The sequence below is a fragment of the Homo sapiens genome, chromosome 22, assembly GCF_000001405.40.
Source record: "Homo sapiens chromosome 22, GRCh38.p14 Primary Assembly".
NCBI lineage: Eukaryota > Metazoa > Chordata > Mammalia > Primates > Hominidae > Homo > Homo sapiens.
Window position 1 is genome coordinate 36,138,801 of NC_000022.11, and position 27,412 is coordinate 36,166,212.

The 27,412-nt window shown below is 47.5% G+C and overlaps 1 protein-coding gene across 32 annotated transcripts, besides 7 other annotated features; it reads right to left on the reverse strand.

The window, feature by feature from the left end:
• Positions 1-1,522: 1,522 nt before the first annotated feature.
• Positions 1,523-27,377, reverse strand: APOL3 (apolipoprotein L3). Of its 32 annotated transcripts, none has more exons than XM_017028949.2 (6): positions 21,869-21,989; positions 10,971-11,164; positions 10,459-10,571; positions 10,246-10,342; positions 6,673-6,802; positions 1,529-3,258 (listed from the first exon to the last, which is right to left on the reverse strand). In XM_017028949.2, the coding sequence occupies exons 4-6, from the start codon at positions 10,253-10,255 to the stop codon at positions 2,400-2,402; spliced, it is 999 nt and encodes a 332-aa protein (XP_016884438.1). In that variant the 5' UTR covers positions 10,256-10,342; positions 10,459-10,571; positions 10,971-11,164; positions 21,869-21,989; the 3' UTR covers positions 1,529-2,399. The 32 variants fall into 32 exon arrangements, with proteins under 32 accessions (NP_663615.1, XP_016884438.1, NP_001380530.1 ...); NM_001393601.1 differs by having other exon boundaries at positions 6,673-6,799; positions 21,869-21,955; NM_001393604.1 differs by lacking the exon at positions 10,971-11,164 and adding an exon at positions 14,485-14,623 and having other exon boundaries at positions 6,673-6,799; positions 21,869-21,955.
• Positions 2,153-2,654: an enhancer, noted in NCBI's record as "H3K4me1 hESC enhancer chr22:36537001-36537502 (GRCh37/hg19 assembly coordinates)". NCBI's record gives its function as "activates a minimal SCP1, AML or CMV promoter by ChIP-STARR-seq in naive H9 embryonic stem cells {active_cell/tissue: H9 hESC(naive)}" and the evidence as "EXISTENCE:reporter gene assay evidence [ECO:0000049][PMID:30033119]".
• Positions 2,655-3,154: an enhancer, noted in NCBI's record as "H3K4me1 hESC enhancer chr22:36537503-36538002 (GRCh37/hg19 assembly coordinates)". NCBI's record gives its function as "activates a minimal SCP1, AML or CMV promoter by ChIP-STARR-seq in naive H9 embryonic stem cells {active_cell/tissue: H9 hESC(naive)}" and the evidence as "EXISTENCE:reporter gene assay evidence [ECO:0000049][PMID:30033119]".
• Positions 17,857-17,976: an enhancer, noted in NCBI's record as "active region_18915". NCBI's record gives its function as "activates an Ori minimal core promoter by ATAC-STARR-seq in GM12878 lymphoblastoid cells {active_cell/tissue: GM12878}" and the evidence as "EXISTENCE:reporter gene assay evidence [ECO:0000049][PMID:35858748]".
• Positions 17,857-18,554: a biological region, named in NCBI's record as "H3K27ac-H3K4me1 hESC enhancer GRCh37_chr22:36552799-36553402".
• Positions 17,951-18,554: an enhancer, noted in NCBI's record as "H3K27ac-H3K4me1 hESC enhancer chr22:36552799-36553402 (GRCh37/hg19 assembly coordinates)". NCBI's record gives its function as "activates a minimal SCP1, AML or CMV promoter by ChIP-STARR-seq in primed H9 embryonic stem cells {active_cell/tissue: H9 hESC(primed)}" and the evidence as "EXISTENCE:reporter gene assay evidence [ECO:0000049][PMID:30033119]".
• Positions 22,874-23,447: an enhancer, noted in NCBI's record as "NANOG hESC enhancer chr22:36557722-36558295 (GRCh37/hg19 assembly coordinates)". NCBI's record gives its function as "activates a minimal SCP1, AML or CMV promoter by ChIP-STARR-seq in naive and primed H9 embryonic stem cells {active_cell/tissue: H9 hESC(naive and primed)}" and the evidence as "EXISTENCE:reporter gene assay evidence [ECO:0000049][PMID:30033119]".
• Positions 23,399-23,558: an enhancer, noted in NCBI's record as "active region_18916". NCBI's record gives its function as "activates an Ori minimal core promoter by ATAC-STARR-seq in GM12878 lymphoblastoid cells {active_cell/tissue: GM12878}" and the evidence as "EXISTENCE:reporter gene assay evidence [ECO:0000049][PMID:35858748]".
• Positions 27,378-27,412: the final 35 nt, after the last annotated feature.

Consider the following 27,412-nt stretch of genomic DNA (forward strand, 5'->3'; position numbering starts at 1 on the left):
ATCAGCCTTCTGTCCTTCTCTGTGTCACTCCTCCCAGTACCCCAGTCCTGCTCCTAGAATCACTTCCCAAACAAATCCTCTGCCTGGGAGCCTTGCCTAGGGCTCTCCCTTCAGGGGAACTCAGGCCACAGCAGCCTACATTAGACAGCATGAAGGCTCTGGGCTTTTGTGCTAAGAGTAATAGGAAGCCATTGAAGACATGGAAGCATGGGCTTGAAGAAATCTATGTTCTTACGGGGCAAATTGGCCCAGTGTGGAGGATGGGCAGGGATAGTGGCAAGGGCTGTATAACAGGGAAGACCATTCTGGAAGCTTTTGCAGGAGTCTGGGTGAAATGAGAGGGCTGACTGGATGAGGGTGTTTGCAGACTGGATGAGGGTGTTTGCAGACTGGATGAGGGTGTTTGCTGTCTGGCTATCTCTCTCTGTTCCTCTATTTCTCATGGACTTTCTCTCAACCTACACACAGGCCCCTCTGATTTTAGTCAGCCTTGTGTGACCCATGTCATTCGTGGGCCCTGGCTGCTAGATGGGGACCATGCCTGCACTTGGGCCAAGCCAGATGTCTACAAGCTTTCCCTGAGTGCCTCACAGGCCACTGGGCACTGGGGTCGCCCAGAAATGACCGACCAGAAGAACAAGCAGAAGGGGCCATGGAGGCCTAGCTCCCTGAGTCCCTGGAAGAAGGATCATGAGGAAGTGAAGTCAGGCACCGAGAGCCCAGGGGAGCCCATCCATCAGCACCACAAAGGCACAGGCATAGATCAGTGTTGCTTGAACCCAGATCTCCAGAACACAAGAGGAGAGAGCCAGGTGGACCTGAGATATCATCTTGTCCAGCCCCTCTTTCCCAGCTGATGAGGAAACTGAGGCTCAGAGAGGCGGGGTCTCTTGACTGCAGGCTGGTTCATCTCCTCAATGCACCACAAAGTTCCTTGATTGGTTCCTGGCATCTGGTTTTGCTTTTCTCTTCCTTGTTTTTTTTTGGGGGGGGGACGCGGGGGATGGAGTCTCGCTCTGTCTCCCAGACTGGAGTGCATTGGCGCCATCTCGGCTCACTGCAACCTCCTCCTCTTGAGTTCAAGCAATCCGCCTGCCTCAGCCTCCTTAGTAGCTAAGATTACAGGCACCCACCACCATGCCCAGCTAATTTTTGTATTTTTAGTAGAGAAGGGGTTTCACTGTGTTGTCCTGGCTGGTCTCCAACTACTGACCTCAGGTGATCCACCCGCCTCGGCCTCCCAAAGTGCCAGGATTACAGGCCTGAGCCACCGTGCCCAGCCTCCTTTTATTTTTCTTCACAAATCAATGACTTTTCCAATACAGAATTTGGAGTTTCATTGGAATGTCATCGTTCCCTCAGTGTATCCTGGCCCCAAGCAGGGCTGACATTTGTCAAGTCCTCCTGCTGTCTGCTGACATCATCACCATCACCTTTACCACTGTTCAGACAAAAACTTCAGACAGGAACTTGCTCCCAAAGCGAGAAAGGAGCCAGGAGACCAAGGAATGACTCGAATAAGTCCAGCTTGGTGAGTAGGTGAGTTTATTAGGACTTACACACAGGGCACTCAGCAGGATGGCTCTAGAGATCCGGCCTCCCCCAGTCTCTAAACTGCTTTTCAGTTAATTTTCTGTCTCTTTGCCTGCTGTATATGAGTAATGAGACTGTTTTTCTTGGTAGGTTCTCGCATACTCTCCAGGATGTTTGGGTTTTTAGAGACACCTGGTCCTCAGCTGGGGACAATGGCCATGGCTCATTACCTGGCCTTCAGGGTTCAAGCAGGGGACATATACCCCTAAATAACCTAAAGGGGATCCATCACACTACAACCACCACCTCCACCGCCATCATCAAGAAGCCACTGGCTGACTGAGATACACTTCCAGGAGGACAAGACAGAGTGGATGCTGGAAAGACAGGGCAGGGGACCATCACCAGGGAAAGACTTCATTCTTGGAAGGACATCGAACCGGGGGCAGGTCGGTAGTGGAGCCGCTGTTTCTTCTGCTGTATCCAAAAGTTCTAACTCTTCGGCTTTCTGCATTTTCAGCTCTTTCTTTTCCTGGCCTTCTCATTGCTGGTTCCTGCACACCTCCCCTCTATTCCTCCCCCCAATATATTCGTTAGTCTAAAGGAAATTTCTTCTTCCTATTCCCCACACTCTCCAGTCCCCTCTCCTCCCTTATTCCAGGCTCCAGCATTCCTGCCTTCTCCTTGGTGCACTTGCCATCTGCATTAACCCCTCCCCTGCTGTGCTCAGCTACAGAAATGCCAAAGTCACTAACACTCAGCTCCATAAACTTTACCTTGCCCTCTTTATCCCCCTAATAAAATGCCTGCATTTTGTCGTGGCCTGTGTATGGCTCACCTCCCCTGCTGGCTGCACTGGTCTGGGGTCAGTGGGTATGGCATGGATTCAGACGCTGATAGATCTGAGTGAGCTCCATTAGATTCTCCTCCAGCTCCTGAGCCTGCCGCCTCAGCTCCTCAGCAGATGCAGACTTTGCCCCCTCATGCAAGTGCTTTGACTCGTATACAAGGTTGACCACATCCAGTGCAAGGAAGATGCCTGAAGTGGTCGCACTCAGGATCCGGGCTCCTCTGCTCACTGCCCGGGTGGTGCCTGCAATCGTTCTCTCTGCTTGACCACCACTTCCAGCTGAGATTCGCCAGGTGGTCACAGGGAGTCGGGCCCTGGCTCTGGCTTGCCTGATGGCACGGATTTCACTCCCAATGGTTTGTGTGGCTTCGTAATAATTATTAAGAAGGGAAAGTAAGTTGGGTGTGATGTCACGCATAACTTCCTTAAATACCTTCAATCGGTCAATGCTGGTTGCAGTCAGCCTGCTGGCTTCAGCTTCTGCTGATGATGTGTATGAGTGCTCCACGATGCTGGTGGTGATCCCAGTCACAGCAGACGCTGCTCCCAGCCCTACCCCAGCTGCAGTAAGGGCCAGACTCGTCCCTGCTGTAAATGGTGCCAAAACAAGACCAGCAAGGGACATGATGCCAGAGGCAGCGCCAGTGGAGCTGGACACCACATTGGAGATGGTGCAGCCTCTGTGGACCTCTTCAATACCATTTGCAAGGGCACGAAGCTTTTCTATGGACTCCTGGATCTTCCTCTTGACTTGGGGAAACTCTTTCAAAAACCATTCCCTAAACTGCTCATCTTTCTGCTGCACATATTCGTCCTCAATAGCTGCATATGTTCTAAGCTTCTTCAGAGCTTCGTAGAGAGCATCTGCCTCATCCCTGTACCAATAAAGGACAGATGATTAAGAAAGGCAGCTTACTTATCTGTAAAATCAGCTCAATAAGATCTGTTCTACATAAATCACAGAGCTATTACTATGAGTCAAATGGAAATAAAGCTTTAAATTTTAAATGGAAAAATTTAAAATAATTTTTCCAAGGTTAAACATGTTTTGTATATCATAGATATGCCACAGTACTTATTCTGTATGGGAATAAAAAACTTAAAGTCATCTTCAGATGCTCTTTAGTGGTAGGTATTCGATAAAGATGGCTCCTCAAGCAAGAGAGGTCAACATCATCCCTCCAATAGTGTGTGGAGAGGGGAAATTTTGTAGATGAACAAAGAGAAGTGGGTTCGGAGCAAAAAGACCTTCATTCAGAGGATCATAGAACAGTGAAGGATTAACTTTATTAGAAGAGAGGTCGTTCTTTTGTCTTTGGGCCCTGGGAAGGGATCTCTGGGGCCCTGGAATGTCCTGCCTGGTAGGAACATCTTTGTTTCCCTGGTGGTTTGGCTACAGCACAGTATAGCAATGTTATGGGTGATGGGTTTTGGGGCTATTACGTATCTTTTCTGCCTTCCAAAGGAACTGGGAACTAAGGGTGTTAGACCTCAGGGAGGGGCTGGGGACTCCATGTCAGCCATCAGGACAGCTTGTGATCCAGCCCCAGAAAGAGCTCTGTACATTGAGGCATAGGTTGAGAAAGACTTTCTCCTTGGCCAAACTCCAGTCAGGCTGCTCTGAGCCTTTTCTCCTCTAGGCGCTGACCTTCCATGCCCATCCCGTGCTTGCTGGGCCTGTACTGCCCCAGTTCAGCAAGAATCCCCCAAGGCAGTTAGGGAGGGTCCTCCCCACTTGCTGTCTGAGCATTCTTGCTGTCTGATCACGGTCTTCACCCGCTCCTTACCTGCCTTTAGTTGAGCAGCTTGTTAGGCCAGTTTAGCAGAAACCCCCCATTCTGGTGTCTCCAGTCAGAACTGGTCCATCTCCCACTCCTCACCCTGGTGTTGGCTGTGACTCCCCCTCTGTCTTTACTATATTGGGAGCTGGGCTCAGTCTCCCTCCCCTGTAACACAATCCTGAATAAAGGCTTCCTGATCTAATGTGATTCACAGGAATTTTTCCTTAACTGGGTGAGCTTCTCTGGTTGGCAACACCCCATGTGTTTTGTCCCACATTCACACAGGAGAACACAGCGTCCTGAGGACAACGAAGCTTCACACCTGAAACCCTCCCAGACTCTGCCCTGTGTGTCTCTTCCTTAGGCTGATTTTAATCTGTGTTCTTTCCCTGTGATAAACCACAATCGTGCAATAACAGTTATCAGTGAGTTACGTAAGTCTTTGTAGTGAATTATCAAACCTGAGTGGGGGCTTAAGAAACACCTTCAAATCTGCAACTGGTGTCAGAAGGAAGGGTGCCTTCAGACATTGCATTTTGACTAACTCTGAGTCCTTAAGCTATCAAATAAAACCTCAGACTGGAAGAGATCACCTTGCCTGGCATGTTCTCTCTTCCAATGCCACATGCCCTTTGATCTTCTGACTGAAGGCCACTGGGTCCAGCCACTGCCCCCTTTGACTGAAAAGTGAAAGGCCTGGCTATTAGTCCTGGCTGCACATGAACTCTCAAGCCACTTGACGGCCTCCTGACCTGGCACCTCCAAGCTTCAGGGTCTCACTGTCACATGTCACCAGCCAAACTAATGCCTTAGCAGGTGACAGCTTCACCTGTGTGCATGCCAATGCCATGTGCAATTTCATGGAACCTCTTATGGACTCATGAGACTTTGAAAATCATCTCTATAAATCACTAATGCTGAAAAGACCTGCATTTGGACAAGATGATAGAGAAAGTGTTTTTCTCTTTGGTTGGGGACTTGTGAGTCTCCTGAGAACCCTTCAAATTACCCAGTTGGCAGACACTTGTTCCAACTCTCCAAGCTGGCCCGAAGAAACACTTCCTCTACTCTATGTAGAACAGAAGAGGGTCCCAAATGGCAGTTCAGAATGCCCCAGTTCCCAGGCATGCTGTCAGGGAAACAGTCACCCATGGCCCACTATGCCCATCAGTGATGGGATCAAATCAGGGAGGGAAGAAATATCCCTCTCCCACTCACTGGTCCTCTGCAAGTCCATGGCCACGTTACCTTTCATGCCCTCAGTGCCTCCCTCTTCTCACCCTACTCCCAGCCTTGGTGCCCGAGCCTTCCTGCTGCTCCTCCAACCCAGGCCCACCCCTGCCCCATCCTGACCCCTGGCTCTGCCCCTGAAACGTCTCTCTGGGTCTTTGGATGGCATCATGCTACTTGGTTCCCCACCTCTGACCTGCTGTTCATTCTCAGGCTTTAACCACACGCCCATCTGATTGAACTACTATTAGCATTGGAGAGATGGCAGGTCCCAGTCTCCAAGACATAAAACAACAGCCCCAGAGCTGTGCAGGGACAGAGCCAAGATCCACCCCCAGCTCTGTCCAACTCCATTCCAGCCTCTCTGTGTTCTGTGTCAGCAGGAGGATCCTGCTGTGTTTGTGCAGTTCCTCAGAGGTGGAAGAAAAGGGCCCCGGACAGCATCTCCAGGAACACACATTGATCAGGTCAAGATTTTTCTGGCTTTTTTCAAAGAAAGTCCTGCTGGGCATCCAACTCTAAGAAAAACACTTGGTCGGGCGCAGCGGCTCATGCCTGTAATCCCAGCACCTTGGGAGGCCGAGGCGGGAGGATCACGAGGTCAGGAGATCAAGACCATCCTGGCTAACACGATGAAACCCCGTCTGTACTAAAAATACAAAAAAAAATAGCCGGATGCGGTGGCCGGAGCCTGTAGTCCCAGCTACTTGGGAGGCTGGGGCAGGAGAATGGCGTGAAACCGGGAGGCGGAGGTTGCGGTGGGCCGAGATCATGCCACTGCACTCCAGCCTGGGGGACAAGCAAGACTCTGTCTCAAAAAAAAAAAAAAAAGAAAAAAAAAGAAAAAAAAAGAAAAACACTTTTGGTCCTGGTCTCTCCCCAGCAATCTTTTTAAAAGGTAACATTAACGGAGCACCTACCATGTGTCAGTCATTATGCTAAATACTTTACATGCATTAGCTTATTTTTCTCACAATAAAGCTCAATGGATGAAGAAAGGAAGGCAGAAAGTAGTCAAGTAGCTTGCAAAGCTCCCATCACCAGTAGATGGCAGAACTGACCCTGCCCTTGTGGGCTTCCTCTCCCCTCAGCCTGAGGTCACTCACTGCCAGCGAAGGACTTGGAGGAAATATTCCTCCTGGACTGCTGAGAGGGACATTCTCAAGTTCAGCAGAGGGGGCTGCCTGGAGGAGGTGTGCCTGCCAGAGAAAACTAGCCCAGGGGAGATCAGGATGGCATAGCCGGGGCGCCCCATGGAGGTAACCCCACGGAGGTTACCTGGGCAATTCAGCCGCAGTCACGAATCTCTTCCAGGCTTCATTGTTAGTCAGCAGGATTTGCAGATGCACTGGGCTGACTCTCTCCCGGAAGTATTTGGTGGCCTCTTCAGTAAAGCGTTTCTTTTCTACTTGGAAACAAAAAGCATAAGATTGGAAGAAAGTGTGCTACAGCCTAAATGGCATTGAGAATAAGGTGGTTCGAGGTTAATCCTCCTCAACCAGCTGTCACATGGGGTATTTTTGATGGAGGCATCAGTGCTATAGACTGAGTTGTGTGCCCTCCAAATTCATATACTGAGACCCTAAACCCCAGTAACTATATTTGGAGATTGAGCCTTTAAGGAAGTCATTAATTTAAAGAGAGTCGTAAGGGTAGGGCCCTAATCCTACAGGACTGGTGTCTAGTTAAAAGAAAAAAAAGAGGCAGAAGATCTCTCTCTCTCTCCTCACCCCACCCCGCCCTCGCTGTCTCTCTTGCCTTCCAGCCCTCTCTCCCTGTCTCTCTTTCTCTCTCTCTCTCTCTCTCTCACACACTCACACACACACACACACACACACATACACCCCCCACACTGGGAAGGCCATGTGAGGACACAGCCCTGAGGCAGCCTCTGTAAGCCAGGAGCAGAGCCCTCCCCAGACATCAACCCTGCTGGCACCTTCACCTTGGAATTTTTGCCTCCAGAACTGTGAGAAAATACATCAGTTGTTGGAGCCACCCAGCCTGTGGCGTTTTACTAAGGCATCCTGAGAAGAGTGATTCACCAGGGAAGTGCCATGGTGCTTTGTGGAGGAACCGATCTATTTCAGCTGAGAATCACCAGAAAGTGAGCTTTCCACCATGCTTTCTCCCCATGTACGGGAAATATTCCAGTGATCGCTTCCTTCTGCCATGTGCCTATTGTCAAACGCTTTACACCAGTGTCTTCAAAATCTGAGTTTCGACCCATCAGTGGGTTATGAAAATAGTTCATTTTGTCAAGAGCAGCATTTTAAAAAGAAAAGAGCATTGAAAATATCAGAGTGTATTGAACACAGCAAGAGTGAGTATTCTTTTGTAAGATATTTGAAATATATATAATATATATATACATAAGGGTGTATATATATATACCCTTATGTAAATTCCTGGGATATAGATGTGTTTAGGATGGCAGCATTTTCAATCTGTGTCAATATGACACAGGGTGCATATGCTGTATCACTGACCACTCCCACACTGGTCAACGCTACAAATGTTTCAACCTTGTAATCAAAGGTACAAATGTTTCAACAGAGAAACCAATGAATATTCACCTTAAATGGGATACATAATATTATCAGTACAAAGCATCTTAGTACACAGCAGGATTACTGCCCAGATGAGTTGCCCCAAAAATGTGTGGTTTGCAGGGATTTGGGAATTATGGAACTGCAGAGAAGGGACTGGGAAGCAGTATGGATTTATGTATGCACTGGGACATGAGGTAAAATCGTTTCCTGCCGTGGACACACTTGCGAGGCCTCATTCTCATTTCACAGAAGGAGAAATTGAGACCCAGACAGCGAAAGACACCACCCAACCCAGCAAGCAGGAAGCTCAGGATTTGACTCAAGGCCAGCGTTCCCTTGCCATTACTTTGAAGACTCCATATATTTTGAAAATGCCTGTGGTTCCTGCATTCTCCACTGTAGTATACCTGTGGGATTTTAAACATTTTATTGAAAAAGAATATTTCAACCCTACACCATTGAATAAACTACCATGCACAGAGGATTCCTCCTGCTGCTCATGGGCGCTCTCAGATGGGCAGTGGAGGGGGTTCTTTAGGCGGGCAGGGGAGCAAGACCCTCAGCACTGATCCCTGTGGCCCTTCTGTGTTACCTCTGTCCTCTGCAGGCTGGTCTCAGGGGACATGGCTCCCCACTATCACCTCTGAACCCAGCTGGCCGCGTTATTAAACCACAGATCATCTTGTTTCGGAGAGAGAGTTTCTTCCTTGAGCCTCCCAGCCAAGCCCTTCTGAAGGATTCCGGGGTTGGCTGGTAGGTCCCGGCTTCTAATCTTCCCTGCCCTCTCCTCATCTTGGACAGGACTCAGCAGAGCCCAGTTTGCTGTCCAGGGCGGCTCCTGAGCAGATGTGACTTGGTTGCCAAGGCAACTCAGTGAGGGGAGAAAACAGGCCTTAGGGAAATGAACACAGTGCTGACTTGGGTGAGGGGTATTTTGCTTTTATTTTTTCCTCCTTCACTGAAAGGATGAAGGAAACCAGGGTTGGATGGAGGGAACCTCCAGCACTAGATCTGTGTATTTATTGCTGGGGTGGGAGTACCAGGGTGTTAAAGCAAACTTAAAATGAACACCTGGGCAAACAAAAGCAAACAGGCCTTCAGAAAGGCTGTAACCCCCCTTAAACTGCCAACTATGGGGAACTTAACTGGAGTCGTTTCAGATGGGTGCTTACGTTAGGCACAAACAAAACTTAACTTCGGCCAGTCATGAGCAGCCAGCTGACAGACGGGTACACGACTAGGAATTTTCCAACAAGGTAAACCAAAAAACATAATTTGACAACTGCAACAAATCAAATAATGTCCTTATTCCACTTCCATATTCACCCTATAAATACCTGCCTCTGACACTTTTCCATCATAACATGAAATGTCTTTCATTTTGATGTTTCCCACTTCATGACTTGCTTCTTCCTCAAATAAAGTCTTCAAAATTCGATTGGACCTCAGATTTTTCTTTGACAAGGGGTATTTGAGATCATGGGAATGAGGCCCTGCCTGAGGCAGTCATCCCTGGTAAGCAGGTGCTTGTGATGGGCCGTGCAGGGCAGGCGCCCTGGGGGACAAAAAGGGGCTTCCACCTGGAATCAACAGTGGCAGGTAAAGGGGATGGGAACCAACTCTTAGGGAGGCCCTACTGTGTGGCAGGCACTGGCTGGGCCAGGTACCCATGTACTATTTGATCCTCATGACCACATGGGGAAATATTATACTCGCATTCCAGGTGAGGGGAGGTAAGAAGCTCCAGGTGACACAGAGAAGACGTGGCAAAGGCCAGAATGGGGCTCAGTTCAGTGGGACGCTGAGTCACTCTTTTCACAGGGCCACTCAGAGCAGAGGGGCTGGTGCAGGGCAAGAGCTGGAGGGAGGGGACTGGCCTGTGCTGGAAACACCCCAGGGTCAGCTGGGAGCAGAGCGGGAGGTCAGAGGTCGGGACTGCTGGTCAACCTCCTCTCTCAGCCCTCCGCACCTCCTGGACCCTGCTCTCCCCCTACTCCCCGACCCTGCTGTTTCCACTTCCCCAAGGCTGTGGTGCCCCACTTGAGTCGTTTGCTAGGTGCCAGGGCAGGGAGGAAGTGGGCACCTGGGCCATGCTCCCCTGAGGAGAGGTCAGGACATAGATGCCCCCACAGACCCTTGGGTCGGGGGACTCCATGTGGCCTCTTTTGGGGCTCAGGGAAGACTCATCGGCCTGCTTGACCATCCGGGTTCCTCTGGGGCTCACTGAGTTGTGGAAACGCCACCCTCCATTCTAGGTGCGAGTAGGAACCAGCCAGGGAAGAGGAAGAAGCAAGCCTACCTGAGTCCATGGTGCCAGCAGCCAGGTCACTGAGAGACTTTCCATGGAGCTCTCCAGTCACTGACCTGACTGGAAGGGTTCGTTTTTTTTCTTAACCCTTGAGGAGGAGAAAGCAAATTGTGGGACTGAATGTGAGCCACCTGTGGACAGAGGGAGGTTGGAGGGGCTGGATCTCTGCAATCCCTTTGCGTGTCAGCAAATGCCAAGACCAACCTAGCCCGGTGTTTTTTAATCTCCTGGGCCCCAGCCAGCTGGTATTTAGAGAAATTCTACTTGCTCCAGCTCCCTCTGCCCTCACTCTCACACCAAGGCAGGGTCCTTTTGTCCTGTAGGGGTATGAAGAGAAGATAATCAGAGGAAGGGATGGACATCTGATAATCACAGAAACTACAGAGTCTATACACCGAAATAGAGATGGGAAGGAACGTTCTGACAATGACCTGGGCCTGGCAACATGTGTGATAACTAATTGATAATAGCCAGTGTGTACTGGGTGTCTGTGATCTGCAGGGCTCCTCATATGTGCCTCATTCGATGATCACACACAGGCCAGGAGATGGGTGCAACCGTGGCTCCCATTTTGAAACAGAAGAAACCTCAAATGTTAAGCAACCTTGCCATGTTTTCACAATAGGGGTAGAGCCAGGACTTCTGATTCAAATCCCATGTCTTCCATGACTGGGCTCCACTCCCTTAAATATATAAAAATATTGACTCATGCATACATGCTTATTGTAAATGACTCCTCATTCCAAATCTGTGTCTTGCACTCTATGCCCAAGTGTCTGTCTTGGTGAATTCACTGGTGCTGTGCTGGACACCCTTTGTCCCCCTTGCTTCTGCCTGTATGTCCTGGCTGCAAGTGATGCTTCTGCTTCAACTTCCCAAGTAGTTGTCCCTACAGGTACATACCACCACGCTAGGCACATTAAAAAAAAATTTTTTTTAGAAATGTGGATCTTGCTTTGTTGCCCAGAGCTGGTCTCCAACTCCTGGTTTCAAGCAATCCTCCTGCCTGAGCCCCCCAAAGTCCTGCGATTGCAGGCATCAGCCACTACAACCAGCCTAAATAAATGCTGATCTTTATACAGAGAAACACTCTTCACATTCTGCTTGTGATGATCTTGCCTTGGGAAATGAGAAAAAAGAAAGCAAATGTTGATTATGTTTAGGCATTGTTCTAAGAAGGTAGAAGAACATTTATTGACTATCCCTTCAAGATCTGACTACAGTGTTAGTCAAGGCACTTATAGGTATAATAACAGTCAATGAGAAATAGGGGTGAACATTTGTGGACTCGACTTTGCACCACTAATTGCTCTAAGATGTTATAAATAATAACTCACAGTCCTCTTCCAAGAGCCTATTAAGTGGGTACCATTTGTATTTCCATTTTCAGATAAGAAAACTGAAACAGATGTTCAGCGACTTGCCCAATCTCAGAAATCTACTAAGGTGTAAAGACTGGGTTCCCACCCAACCAGACGGACTCAAGAACACACACACTGCCTCTGCACCCTCTGCTGCCAATGAAAATGTGAATGGACCAGTTGTGGTGGCTCACGCCTTAATCCCAGCAATTTGGGAGACCGAGGCAGGTGGATCACGAGGTCAGGAGATCAAGACCATGCTGGCCAACATAGTGAAACCCTGTCTCTACTAAAAATGCACACACACACACACACACAAATTAGCTGGGCGTGGTGGCGTGTGCCTGTAATCCCAGTTACCCGGGAGGCTGAGGCAGGAGAATCGCTTGAACCCAGGAGGCAGAAGTTGCAGTGAGCCGAGATTGGGTCACTGCACTCCACCCTGGTGACAGACTGGGACTCTGTCTCAAAAAATATATACATATGAAAATTTGAATGAGGAAAACAGGAGATCAGAGACTTCAACAGATATTTGGAAGACAGAACTGGCTGAAGAAGTGACAACTGAATAGAGAGGGGTAAAGGGATCTGCAATCCACAGCAACACCAAGAGCACATTCAGCCAAGAATTGCCTGCTAAGCAGAGCCTCAGAGAGGGGAGAAGTTCACCAGCCCCACGACCCATACAGGATTCACAGTAGCCGTGAGTCTACACCAATGGAAAAAATTAGAGACTTCATAACTGCATCTAAAGGCCCCAGAAATAATATCTTTGTATCCTGATGCCAAGGAGTTCTCATTTCATCACTCTACAGGGAAGACTGCCAGTGGACCTGCCCCTTTCTTTAATATGAATAGATCTAGGATCAGATAAAGCAGAAAGACAAAAAATGGGGAAAAGGTCAAGATAACAAGTAAAAAATGAGTCCAGAAGAAATGGATGATTGCGAAAATAGAAAATAATTTTTAAAAACTCAAACCCATGTCCTCAGGGACATAAAAATGTTTTATTCATAAATGAGAACATTATGTACTGAAAAGGAACAAAGATGATGGAACAAAAAAGACTTCTTGAGAATTAAAAGGTGATTGAGAAAATAAACAACTCTAGGACAAGATTCAAAAAGATAGGCAAGGAAGCTTTCCAGAAAATCAACTAAAAGGATGACAGAAAAAGAAAAAAACAAAAACAAAAACAGAGCTAGATATAGAATAAGAAAGTTACCATACATAATAATTACATAGAAAGCTACTTGAGTCTGAGCATGGTGGCTCATGCCTATAACCCCATACTTTGGGAGGGTAAGCAGGAGAATTCTTTGAGTCCAGGAGTTCTAGACCAGTATGGGCCACATAGTGACACCCCATCATTACAAAGAATACAAAAATGAACCAGGTGTGGTGATGCATGCCTCTAGTCCCAACTACTCTGGAAGCTGACTGGGGAGAATCTCTTGAGCCCAAGAGGTCACAGAGCAAGACCCTGTCTCTGTTAAAAGAAAAACAAGTAAATAACAGAAAAGAAAGTTACTTGAGAATGAGCTGTGGAGGCTGAGAGGAGGAAGAATGTGAGTGTGTGTGTGTGTGTGCACGCACACTCATGGAGAGGGGATAAGGAAAACCAAGAGAGAAAAAGACGTGAAAGAGAAAAATCAACCCAGGGAGAAGGAAATGCAAGGATCACAGCTGGGCATGCAGCAGGCCTAGAAAGCAACCAGTCCAGGATAGAATAAGAAGGAAAGGGCTCTGTAGGGAAAGGGGACTCGATAGAACATTGCATATAATTCACAGTTTGAGAAAAACTGAGGAAATCATGAAGGCAAACAGTACAAGAGGGGGAAAAAACAAAGGCAATTAGAAACATCAGGAAAAACTAAAGCCGTGCAGCAAAACATGTGCAACCATATTGTACAACTCAGCTCAACAGTAAGCAAGATTTAAAGCGTCACCAAAATGTAAACACTTGGTTAACTTTTAACTTTTAGAACAAAACAGAACATTTACATATGAGAACTAAATCTACTTGTTACCAGTCAGTATAATTAATGTTCCATGGTAAAGGTGGGAGGTGAAACACTGAAGGAAGGAGGGGGAGGATTAATATGGCCATTTTGTAAAGTGAAGAGTCAAGAAATACTGGCTACAGTTAAGGGCATAAGAAATAAAGTTAAATAAACTCACGTTTAGTTCTCACAACAACCATCCTACGTAGGCACTGTTATCATCTTAATAGTTCTGAGGGGAAAACTAAAGCTTGGAGAAGTTAAGTAATTCACCTGGAGCCCCTAGCTAGTGACAGCCAGAAGCCAAACTCAAGTGCCCAATCTCCAGAGCATGCACTCTCACTCTATTTCATCTGCTAGCATAAGAATATTATGTAAAGAAAATGATTTACTCCCTAAAGAAAAGCTGGCTAGGCACACTGGTTCACATCTGTAATCCCAGCACTTTAGGAAGCTGAGGTGGGTGGATCACCTGAGGTTGGGAGTTCGAGAGCAGCCTGACCAACATGGAGCAACTCTGTCTCTACTAAAAAAATGAAAAAATTAGCCGGGCATGGTGGTGCATGCCTGTTATCTCAGCTACTCAGGAGGCTGAGGCAGGAGAATCGCTTGAACCCAGGAGGTGGAGTTTGTGGTGAGCCAAGATAGCTACATTGCACTCCAGCCTGGGCAACAAGAGTGAAATTCTGTCTCAGAAAATAAAAAAAGGAAAATCTGAACATCAAAATTAGCTGCTTTTAATTGGGAAGGGAGTGAGTGGAGCCCTCTTTATTAAATGATTTGTCTGAACCGTATACACTTATTAATTGATTTTTTTAAATTTTAACAAAACAGAAGTTACTTTATAGTAGTTAGTAACTGCTAACCTCAATAATGGTTTGGATTGTGGTGCCACCACCTTAAAGTTGATGGAGAAGTGTGAGCAAGTGCCAAAGAGAAATACACCTGCCTCCTGATGGGAGAAATGTCAGCTTCAGAGAAACCTCGGTGGCTGGGGTAACCAAGCTGCTAAGAAAAGTACGGATGTTGTCATTTTATGTTAAACTGTTAATATTAACAGCATAATCAGAGTGAACTCCTATCTTGAATCAGTATAATTTCCAGTGGCACCTTGCCACTCAACATACGGGCTTCTTTTCCACCCAAAGGAACCAAGACGTCTTGTGGGGAACCAAATTCCCCAGACTGTGATATGTGTTACCCCAGAAAGCAAGGACGCTTCCAAAGATGTTCAGAGCAGTGTTCAAAGGGATGCCCACTGGTCAGTCCCAACCGCTGTGAACCCGGAAAATCTGAGACTGGTGTCAGTTAATTTAGAAAGTTTATTTTGCCAAGGTTGAGGACGTATGCCTGTGACACAGCCTCAGGAAGTCCTGATGACATGTGCCCAAGGTGGTTGGGGTGTAGCTTGATTTTATACACTTAGGGAGCATGAGACATCAATTAAGTACACTTGAGAAATACATCGGTTTGGTCTAGAAAGGCGGGACAACTCAAAGTGGGCGTTTCCAGGCTACAGGTAAATTGAAACGTTTTCTGGTTGACAATTGGTTGAGTTTGTCTAAAGACCGGAGATCAATAGGAAGGAATGTTTGAGTTGTGATAAGAGGTTGTGGAGACCAAAGTTTTATCCTGCAGATGAAGCTTTCAGCTAGCAGGCTTCACAGAGAAACAGGCTGTAAAATGTTTCTTATTAGACTGAAAGCCTGTGTTGATATTAATGCCAGAGAGGCATAATGAAGCATGTCTGACCCCCATTTCCCTTCATGGCCTGAACCAGTCTTTCAGGTTAAATTTTAAGAGCCCTGGCTGAGGAGGAAGTCCTTTAAATGAGGGGGAGGCTTAGAATCTTACTTTTGGTTTATACCGCTTATATTCAACAGTAATAATTGATTGTGATTATTATGATCATGTTTACTTGGTCCAAGATGAATCTGTGAAAGGCCTTGGGTTGATACTAACATTCAAGTGAGAACATTTGAGAAAAGTATACAGAAAAGGCTAAAACAGGGTACTTGAAATGCAAAGACTTATCGTAACAGAGAATGTTTAATTGTTAATTGGTTTTAACAAGAAGAGCATCTTAATATAAATGGATATTTTTCCTTCTATTTATTTATGTTCCTGTTCGTAAGTGTTGAGAATGAAGGAAGAGCTGCCACAGACATTTGGAAGCTGGCGTGGACTCCCAGAAGGGCTGTGTTATTCTCCTATGGACAGAAATAATGTCACAGAATAGTAACCACACACAGGGTGACTCTGAGATTGTGAGCAAATGAGACAGAGCAATTAGACTTCATAATACTGTCTAAGTATAGACAGAAACTGAGTCTCTGCTCCACCCACAAAATACCAAACACTCCCTCTCCTGGCTAAATAGAATGCCTGTTTTTTCTACACCAAGTCAACTCTAACCTCTTCCTGGTCTCCCTCTCTCTAGATGAGATTTGCTGAGATACCCACTGGTAGACTTGCCCCCCACTTTCTGCAACACCCAATCCAGAGTGGGCTCCATTTCATAGGCCCTCCTGCCAATCACCCAGCCAGAACCCAGATATTCTAACAGGTTCCTTCTCGCACCCCTTATGGAGGTGCCGATGGACCTCCACCTGTGTCCCCCTCACTGAGAAGAATGAACTCAACTGGTTCAACCACCTACAGGAGTGATCTGGCAGCCCCAGCCTGGAAACATTGACTCTAGAGACTTCCATGGTTTCTGTAGTGAGGAGGCAACAACAAGCCCAGGCAGCTGTGAGGTGGCCCTGTCAGGCCCCTCAAAGGTAGGGGTTGGCTCCAAGCAGGCCCCTATCTCTTTCTTCTTTACTGTGGCTTCGGCTGCATCTGTTTCAGCTGGCTCCCAGGCACATCCATTCCAGCCGCTGGTCTTTGCTCCCAGACTTTATGTTAACAACGCAGTGGTTCCCGGGACCCCCTGATGCGTTTTCATCCTCAAGGTCATGTGTAGAAGCATCCTCATCGAAAGCCTCTCACCTCCCTCTTCCTATTTCCTGCCTCTGTCTTAGGGATCTTGCATCCAGGTGTCTATTGTCTGGGGCCCCCATGCAACCATGGTGACAGTGAGGCCAATAGAGGCACTAGGGGAGTGTGCTGAGGGGTTTCTGGGTGCTTCTTGCTGTAAGGGATAAGGGTGATAGAAGGAGGGCTCCCCTTCCCCTTCTTCCTGCTTTGTTCAGTGTGTGACCCCCTAGGCCAGGGCAGCTGTCTCAACATCATGAGCCATAAGGACCAGGAGCCAGCACAGAGCAGAGGAGCAGGAGGGCAGAGAGAGCTGGGGCCTCAGACCACACCTGACACCTCTGATGAGCTACACCCAGGGTCTCGTCCTCCTTAGGCGTTGTTGGCCTGGCTCGGAATCTTGTCTGGGGCATCCGCTGAGGGTTGAAGCTGGATACTGCCCCTCGAGCTGAACTAGGACACAGCATGTCCTCCCTGGGCAAGCCTGCAGTTTGGTCAATTCCCGGAAAGGGACTTTAGTTCCTGGAGGAGGCCCAGACAGGGAGCCCTCCCTCCTGCCTCAGCTCTGAGCCAAGCTCTCCAGATGCAGAGGACAGAGACTCTCAGCAAAGCAGCTCCCTGCAAGTGGCTGTGGGGCCTCCTCCTTAGGCAGAGAGAGAGGGAGAGAGGGGTGAAGACACCGTGCTCCTCCTGAGGAATCTTTATTTTTATTTTCAATATTTTTTTTTTTTGCTCTGTTACCCAGGCTGGAACGCAGTGGCACCACCATAACTCACTGTAGTGTTGACGTTCTAGGATCAATCGATCCTCCTGCCTCATCCTTCTGAGTAGTGGGAACTACAAGTGCATCACTATGTCAGTCAATCTTTTTATTTTCATTTTTGCAGAGATGGGGTCGTGCTATGCTGCCCAGGCTTGTCCTGAACTCCTGGGTTCGAGGGATCCTCCTGCATTAGCCTTCGTGCATTAGCACGGGAATTACAGCCCTGAGCCACAATACCTAGGTCTCCTGAGGAATCTTTAATGACCTGCCAGGGTCAAGTTCAACCCCTTAACTGGGCACACGGGCTCCTACTTTCCTCACTGCTCCCTGCCCACACAGTCACCTTGGGTCCAGGTACACACTGACGCCCTGCTTCCCTGCCTCCCAGAGCCCATCTACTCCCCCCACTCCCATTCCCAGCCTCAGGCCTTTGCTCAGGCTGCTCCCTCCCCTTGGAATGCCTCCCCCACCTTCCCCACCATGTGCAAGTCACCCATCCTCAGAGGCTCAGCCAAAGCTGCCTGGACCCTGCAGCGTCCCCCAGCCCTCCCCAGGCTCCCTGAGCACTCTGCTTTCCGGGGGCAGCTCTACCTCTGTGTGGCTCTTTGGGCCTCTGTCTCCCCGTTAAACTCTGAGCATCCGGCAGGGACCCTGCGGTGTTCCCAGCTGCATCCCCTATGACTGACCTGGGTGGCCTCTGCCCTCCGTGGCACAGCCTGGCTGAAATCCGAGGTGTGGGAGGCAGCACTTGGACTAAAAGCAACCAGCCTCTGGACAACATGGCCCAGCTTCAGTTTCACTTTCAGTTGAGGGATTGAATGTTTTTCCTTGCTATCTAGATGCTCATCTCTTTTTGGGGAAGAACAAATAAGACCATGACTCTGATTTCATGTACTTTTGGTGGCTCTATCAGGTTTCTGAGTTTCCATTTATTTTCTCCCGTGTCCTCCCCAGTCTTATTACTTTTGTACGAGGAGAAAGAAAAAAGAAATTTCTAAAAACACGCGAGCCAGCTAACCTCTGAATCATAGCCATGGTTTCCAAGCCTCCCCTCCCCCACGGCAATGGCCCAGGCCTGCATCTGGGCCCAGCTCCCTCCGGGTCCATGACACTCTTATGCAGCAACCAACTACTGCCAGGGACTTTTACGGGAAAGAGGTCATTTCCTTCCTGCACTTGTTGTGCCTTAGAATACACACAAAAAAGTCTTGTTCTTCTTTGTCTGTAGTAGGTACCCATGAAATAGGTCCTACATTTAAAAGAAGAAGAAACAAATTCTTCTCCAAAAATAAGTAAATCAATCCCAAAGGGATCTAAGTGTACCCCAGAAAGAAAAAATTAAAACTATACTAGAAGAAATGTTAAAAACAATGTTGAGTTGGGAAGACCTTTCGAATCAAAACTCAATTCCCAGAAGACTTAAAGGGAAAATTGAATAGAGTTTTACCTCTTACAAATTAAAAATTAGAAAGAACATCATTCAAGAGCCAGAATAAAATGAAAGAATAGGAAGCACGGTTTGCAATACTTAAAGCAAAGGTAACTGTCCACAATCCACAAGAAATGCTCAAATCAACATGAAAAGACTGAAATCAAGTTTCTAAAAATATAGCCAGGTGCGGTGGCTCATACCTGTAATCCCAGCACTTTGGCAGGCCAAGGCGGGTGGATCACCTGAGGTCAGGAGTTCGAGACCAGCCTGACCAATATGGTGAAACTCTGACTCTACTAAAAATATCAAAATTTGCCAGGTGTGGAGGCACGCGCCTGTAGTCCTAGCTACTTGGGAGGCTGAGACAGGAGAATTGCTTGAACCCCGGAGGTGGAGGTTGCAGTGAGCTGAGATTGCGCCACTGCACTTCAGCCTGGGCAACAAAGCCAGACTCCATCTCATAAATAAATAAATAAATAAATAAAATTTAAAAATGGGTAAAAGATAGGATCTGAAGAAATAGAAATTAACGTTAACCATATGAAAAGGCACTCAAGCTCACTTTTGAACCATATATGTAAGTGATCACAGAGACATACGTTTTTGAAACATTAGATAAGCCAAACCTAAAGTGACTAATAATGTCCACTGTTAGGGAGGTAAAGGTGGCACAAGCCCCTTCACTGTTGATGGAGTGTGAAAGGTTCTGGTGTCCTGGAGGATCGTCAGCGATACTCAGCACACTTTACAAAGTGCCCCCACGTCATGGCACAGCACCCACTCCTAGGTCTCAGCCTCCAGGGAGCAGAGGGCAAGTGTGCAGGGACAGGGGCTTTAGAGGGTGCCATGCAGCGTTGTTTCTATCACCAAAAAGGGAGAAATCACTAAATCTCCTGCCATAGGGAGTAGGCGGGTCCCTAACACTATGCCCATTAAGACTAAGGAATGCGCCTGGCACGGTGGCTCATGCCTGTAATCCCAGCACTTTGGGTGGCGGAGGTGGGTGGATCACAAGGTCAGGAGATCGAGAACATCCTGGCTAACATGGTGAAACCCCGTCTCTACTAAAAATACTAAAAATTAGCCGGGCGTGGTGGCACGCCTCTGTAGTCCCAGCTACTCAGGAGGGTGAGCTGGAGAATCACTTGAACCCAGGAGGCGGAGGGTGCAGTGAGCCGATGGTGCTACTTGCACTCCAGCCTGGGCGACAGAGCAAGACTCCGTCAGAAAAAAAAGACTAATGAATGCGATGCCTCCCTTAAAGAAATGAGGAGGAAAAGAAGCTGCACAGAATCAAAGACCCTTCGAGGCCACGACACAGAGGTGAGAAACACAGGGCTCCATGAAGTGAAATCTGAATAGCAGGTGTGAGTGTGCGTGTGTGTGTGTGTGTGTGTGTGTGAATTTGTGAGTGTGTGTGTGGCATATGCAAGGTTTGCCTTTTATTTGGTTGCCAGCATGTCAAATGTAATTGCACCTGAGTTTATAGCAAATGTTCCGTCATCTGAGCTCTGAGGAGCCAGGCCCACCCTCTCACCTGCTGGGCATCACCTGGATCTGAGAAGCCCATGCAGGCCTCCAGCTCTCCCCACTTTCCTGCAGCCCCTGCAGGCATCTGGGCTGCAATGTCAACTTTCCCCTGACTCGCACTGCCCCGCCTCCCACCTCACCCCAGATGGGGTCAGCAGCCTGCTGGGGGTCAGCAGGGTAGGGCATCCTAACCCCCTAAGGCAGGTGAAAAACCCTGAGGCTCAGAGAGGGGAAGTGACTTCCCCAGTGTCACACACCTCTTGGAGGGCAGGGGGAAGGTCAACACCTGACCTCCTGACTCTGACATTGAAGCAAGAAAGTATAATGTTAATAATCCAAAATCTTCCAGGTTTGTTTCTGCTTCTACAAACACAGAGGGCTAAGCTCACGCTCCCACAGTTATGCTCACGCTTCCACAGTTTGACTTTTAATCTCATGATTGTCAAGCTGGGATCATGTGGCAGACACCATTCTGCAACATGCCGTTCTCACTGCCCCTGTCTGGGCCATCTTTCCCACTAGGGAACAGCACAGCTTCTTTCTTCTCTATCACCCAGAGGCCTGAAAAGGAACCAGGTGAGTGTCAGGGACATGGAGTCCTGTGATCTACCTGCTCAACTTCCTGACATGGGACCCTCAGCGAGTCACTCATCTCCCATGGCCTCAGTTTACCCACAGGGCCTGGCTCAAGTAGGTGCTCAGAGTCAGGGTGGGTGAAACAACCTCTGGGTTCCTTGTTATCTCTTTTCGCTCTCTCTCTCTTTTTTTTTTTTGAGACAGAGTCTCACTCTGTCAGGAGTGCACTCAGGCTGGAGTGACTGGTGCGATCTCGACTCACTGCAACCTTCATCACCTGGGTTCAAGTGATTCTCATGCCTCAGCCTCCCAAGTAGCTGGGATTACTGGCTTGTGCCACCACGCCCAGCTAATTTTTTGTATTTTTAGTAGAGGCAGGGTTTCTCCATATTGGCCAGGCAGGTCTCGAACTCCTAACCTCAAGTGATCTACCCGTCTCGGCCTCTCAAAGTGCTGGGATTACAGGCATGAGCCACCGCGCCCAGCCAGGTTCCTTGTATCTCAAAGGAAATCCTCTGTCCCCATCGGGCCTCAGCAGCAGCACCCTGGGGCCAGCCTCAGGGTGGCCAGGCCACAAGAAGGACAGGCCAGGCTCTGGATCACCTCCTGTCCTCCACCTTCTCTGGTTCCTCCAAATATTCTAAAGGAATGGACAGTCCCAACATCTGCCTTCCTTCTGGGGTCACCGGGCCATGTCTCACGCAGGCTGGAACTAGAGCTGAGCCCTAGGAAGCTTTGTGAACCCAGCTGAGCTGATTCTGCCTCTGTCTCTACTGTTTGGGGGCCCAGAGAGAGGGAGGGAGAAGTCCAGCTAAAACCTGGGTGCAAATTCAGGCTCTGCCATGGACCGAGATGTGACCTCAGTCAGTTACCTAACCTCTCTGAGCTCATCTACAAAAGGTGAATGACCCTTCTCTTATAGAGCTGCTGTGAGGATGGGGAGATGGGGAAGGTCAGACCACCCCTAACTTACCAAGGAAGCTTCTCTTGAAAGAGTGTGAGCAAGATCCAGCTGTTCTGAGCTGTGTGGATCCCACCTCCAGCCGTGCATCTGCATAATAACCAGACACGTTCTCCAGGCTCTGAGATATACCCTGGAACCCAAAAGGGAAAGTGAAAGTCACAACTTGGCAGCAGCTCCTGATCAAACATGCAAAACAGGATGCTTCCCAGCCCCACCCTTGGCCCAGTCCCATCCTTGGTCCAGCAGCACCCTTGGTCCCACCCTCCTGCTGATCCAAGAGCAGCCCCAGACGTCCTTCTTGGCCAACCCACCTGCCTCCCATACTTAGGGTTGGGGGTTTGCTGTGTCTTCAGGAAGAAAGACCTACCACTGAAAGACTATGAGACCCTCCAGATTACTCCCCACCCCCAATAACACCACACTCCCCAGATGCCCACCTCACTCCCTCCATGCCATCAGCATTACCACAGTCCATCACACATGCCGGGTGGACGCTTATTGCATATTGATTGTATTGCTGTTGGGGTTATTTTGTTGTTTTGTTTTGTTTTGTTTTTGAGATGGGGTCTGGCTCTGTCACCCAGGCTGGAGTGCGGTGGCACAATAATAGCTCACTGTAGCCTCAAATTCCAGGGTTCAAATGAACCTCCTGAGTAGCTGGGACTACAAGCATGAGCCACTCGGCCTGGCTACTTTTAAAAAATGATTTTGAAGGGGTGAAATCTTACTATTTTTACCAGGTTGGTTTCAAACTCTGGCCTCAAATGATCCTCCTGCCTCAGCATGAGCCACCGTTCCAGACCTGCTCTTGTCGAACGCCATACCTGTGTGGCTTCTGGACACTTCCTTATGTGGGTTCTTCTGCCAGGAGCACCTGCTACCTTCACCTGGAAAAGTCACGCTCCTCTATCAGAATGCAAATCTAGCATTTCCTCCCCTGAGAAGCCCCCTAGCATCCTCTTCAGCAGAGCCCACTGCCCCATGTTCCACTCCTGTGGCACTTTTGTTAGGCTGTTGTAATTGGCCACAGTCCCAGGTTGACTGAACAAAGTGGGGGGCGGATGTGGGAGTAAAAGACAAAGACAAAAGAGTATATTAGGAAGAAGGGGTCAGGGGGTTCCTTGCTTCTAGTGAACAAGGGCTCTGAGCTTTTCAAGCTCTCTGAGTTTATTAGGTAAAAGAGATGACGAGAAAAAGGTGGGGGGGTGATTGTCAGGTAATTGTCAGTCAGCCGTTTGGTTCACAGCAGGCTTGCAAGACTGCATCCTTCAAATAATAGGTGCTAGATATCCCAACAGATAACTTCAAGGAGCCCAGCACCAGGGAGTGATGGCCCTCAGGAAACCTTCTGGCGGCGGGTGCAGTGTGAGTTTACCCACATCCCGCATTCATGATAAACAGTTTGCTGTTTGATCATATAGCCTCCAGTGAAATGCTGAGTTGGTCACAATCCCTTTGGCCTTTTCAGCTCCCAACAGGCAGTTAAGTAGACATTAGCAGCTGGGAGGAGAAAAGAGAGCAGAAAGCCTGTCACTGCAACAGCTCCTGGCCCACCTAAGTTCAGCCCCAGAGCCATTCTAAGACCCCCCTAACTGATGAAGTTGGTGGTATAGTTTGTGGCCAGCACATCCTGAAGAAAGAGAAACTAGGGCACAGGTGGAAATTCCCTAAAGGGGCACATGCCCAGTAACATGAAACTGTGCCCTCAGGTCACCCCAAGTTCATTATACCATCATTATAATAAAATGTGGTTTTATTATACAAAAGCCCCAGAGTGGGCTTTTCTGTGAAAATTATGGGTAAAAACATGCATTGCCTAATTTTAGTTATATAACCATAAACTGCCAATCAGATGACATCGTCCTTTACTCAGACACAGCCCCAACCTCAACTTCTCTCCACAAACCGCACAGAAGCACCTTAAACTCTATATAGAGGGGCTGACTTCACTTCACAGAAATTAGCCCACTGTCCCTCTGAGAGTGTCTAACTGTGCTTCAATACACTTTGCTTTGAGCTTGCATTTTGGAGTTAGCCTGCAATTGTTTGCTCACTCTCAGAAGAACTGAGATTACTGGTCCAGAACTCCAGCTCTGTTAATCTCCTCAGTTAAAGGATCCATCCCAGCGCAGAATTCCTGGTAATATCTTAGTGCTGTGACCTGGATGATTTACGTTCAGCATGGCTTTTAATATGTGCTTGATTTTAGCTTGGGGAACTGAAACATATTTTGCTAAAATGCTTCCTTTCGCTTTGGGTCAAGATGTTTGTGCTATGTTTCGCTGCTTGGCTAAGAGAAGTTGCAATGAGTGTTGTATTTGCTGCATTAGAGAGGGGGTATATCCCCCAACATGCCACCAATAACTTTTAGAGAAGGGCTTAGAGAAATCTTCTCTGGATTTAGGTTTAATTAGCTGTTTAACGTGATTAAACAACTTCATTAGGTTGTAGTGGCCATTGAAGCCCAGAGCTTGTTAACAGCCCAGGGAAGCTTTGAGAGGCAAAATGGTTTCTTATGCTCTGGCCACAGAGCCAGGAATCACCCTCAACTCCCTTTAGACTGGGCATTTTGGCTGGATGCAATTTTTAAAATTACTGATTAAGAGAGCCGATTGGGATTCAGATCATGGGATAGCTTGGATAAATGCTAAGTTTAGAGGTTTACAGCCGGGAACGAAGGGTAGGCCCATAGTGGGTCATAACCTTTGGAGAACTCCCCAAATCGTCCTCGCCCACCCTTTTGGGCACTCACCCCACCCGAGGCCCCCTCCCTGCCACACTGCCATAGGCAGCAGCACAGCTTCTGAAGATCGTTTTGCAATTTTTTTTCCTTTTTCTTTTGAACAGAGCTTCATTTCTTTTCTTTCTTTCTAACCACTTTTATTCAGAATCTAGGGGACAAATGTTTTCAGCAAGGCTGTAGTACCCACTGTAGGAAGGGGTCTCCATGCTGGGCACAGCCATGGTCCACACATAGGTACAACTTGAGAGACACACAGACTGCCCCAGGGGAGGCGGAGCCTCCATCTAAAGAGCAGGGGACACTCTCTCCTGGTAATGGTCAAGGATATTGGGATGTCGAGACTACCTTGATCTCAGTGCTGTGTATTCTGGATTGCCAGCTGCATCCACACTCCTATGTAAAACCACAGAGGGCTGCCCAAACTGATGATGTCTCCACAGACAAATACACTTGTGAGACTTTAGTGGACCTCAAGCCTCTCTTTAAAAGACTGCCAAAAAATAAGTAATGCCCACTGACTTTCCCTAGTGCCTTTTTTTAAATATTAGCTTTAAGTTGGATTGTTATAGTTATTCTCATATATTTGCAGTTCAATTGCCTCCTCCTGAATGGGTGAAATAATTTTTTATGCTAAAATAGCTGTTTTAAATGCAGTAACCAATATTTTTGCTTTTTAAACTAGATTAACCCTTGCAATCATTTCTCCTAATGTTTTTTTCCAACACCCATATTTAGCTACCATCAAAGAAGTTTTAAAACCTTGTTTAAACACAACATCAACGGACTGCACAACATCACAGAAACTGTTGAATCTGTGTTTACACCTTCCCTAGCAGAGGTCTATCAGCCATTTCCATTCCTGCTTCTGAGTGGAATCAATCAGAAACATTTCCAGCCCCCACTTCTGTTAACCGACCAGAATAAGCTGTCAATCCTAGGGTCGAGCCCACAGTCAATTGCATACTCCTTAAAAGTCTATACCAACAAACCTGTTACAACCTCCGAGGACCTGTCGTCTATCTGTAATACTATCTGACTAAGCACTCCTTTGTCTTCTATCTTCATTGAGGATGAGGCCATTACTTGGATTTTTTCCTAATATTTCCAAGGCTTGCAATCACACTTGTACCCTATTTTCCACCCAATTATGTGTCAGCTTAGTCACTGACAACAAAAAATGCAAACATACCTGATATTCTAATTCTTCTTTGTGTTTTATTCATTTCCCAAGCCCCCCAACAGAACCACTATGTGGAAAGAAGCCAGCTATTCTGGATCTACCCTTTTCCCCAGACCCACACCAGAATATCATTTTAAACATAACAACTTCTGGTTTCAGTCTCACAACTTCGGGCAAAATCATTGCAAAAAACTGCAGCTCCCCATAATTTCACAATATTGGTTGGGATCCCATCACTCCTTCCTCTAATTGGGCTTTTGATTCCTCTTTCATTCTGTCAAGTACTGCCTGTGTTCCCCCATTACATGAACTAGCCTTGACTTCCACTTCTGAGGGTATTAAAGCAGACTTACACAGCATGGAAAAACCCTACTTTAGTATCACTGTTGATATTTGTCTTAACATGACAAATCACATTTTTGTATAGAAACAAGGCATATCTCTGCTTGTCTGCTAATTAAACGGGGATTTGGCCCTAGTTTACATCATCCCCAAACTCACTCTTATCGATAGCATTCCCCTCCCTATACACGCTCAATCTGGTAAAACTGAAAGAGGAGTTTTAACAGCACTGACTATAATTGGCGTTCTGGCTGGTATTGGCACGGGAACTGGAGGACCTCCTTAACTCCATTTTTACTGCCCAGAAACTCTTCTTAAAAATTACTCAACAAATTATTAATCTAACTAACCAGGTCAATACCCTTTCAGAACAAATTGCTTCATTAGCAAGCATAGTCTTATGAAATTGATGAGCTTTTAATTTGCTCACAGCCAATCAAGGGGGAGCTTGTGCAACACTTGATAAACATTGCTGTTTTCATCAACCAATCAGGTAAAGTGCAAACCAACTTAAAAAAATTACAGACAGGGCCAACAAGTTAATGGAAAACAGAGTTTCAGGAGGCTTTGACTGGTGGAAATTTAACAACTGGTCCTGGTTTTCCTGGTTAGCCCCCTTTCTTGGTCCTAAAACAGCTTTATACAACTTATAGCTTTCAAACGATGCTCATTTGATTTACAAGGTTGTTTTGTTTCTTCCCACCTAGAATCCATAAAACTCCAAATGATTCTACACAAGGTTACCGCGAGGTCTCAACCATGTCTGATATCTACGTGGGCCCCTTGGATGGCCACCACTTTTCTCTGCCCAACCTACCAGCTACAAGAGAGCAAAAAAGAGAACCCAATTATTACCACTGCCTCTTGTCAGCAGGAAGTAGCCAGATTAATTGTCACCGATCTACCCAAAAATTTGGCTTTTTTTCTCTAAAGGGGGAAATATTAGGTAGTTAAATAGACATTAGCAGCTAGGAGTGGGTAAGAAAAGAGAGTAGAAAGGCTGACAGTGAAACAGCCCCTGGCCCACCTAAGTTTAGCCCCAGAACCGTCCTAATGCCATCCTAATGGATGGAGTTTTTGGTAAAGTCTGTGGCCAGCACATCCCAAAGAAAGAGAAAGTAAGGCACAGGTGGAAGTCTCCTAAAGGGGCACATGCCCAGTAACACAAAAACATGCCCTCAGGTCACCCCAAGTTCATTATACCATCATTATAATAAAATTTACATGTGGTTGTACCCTCCTTTCCCCAGAGTGGGCTTTTCTGTATAAATGATGGGTAAAACCATGC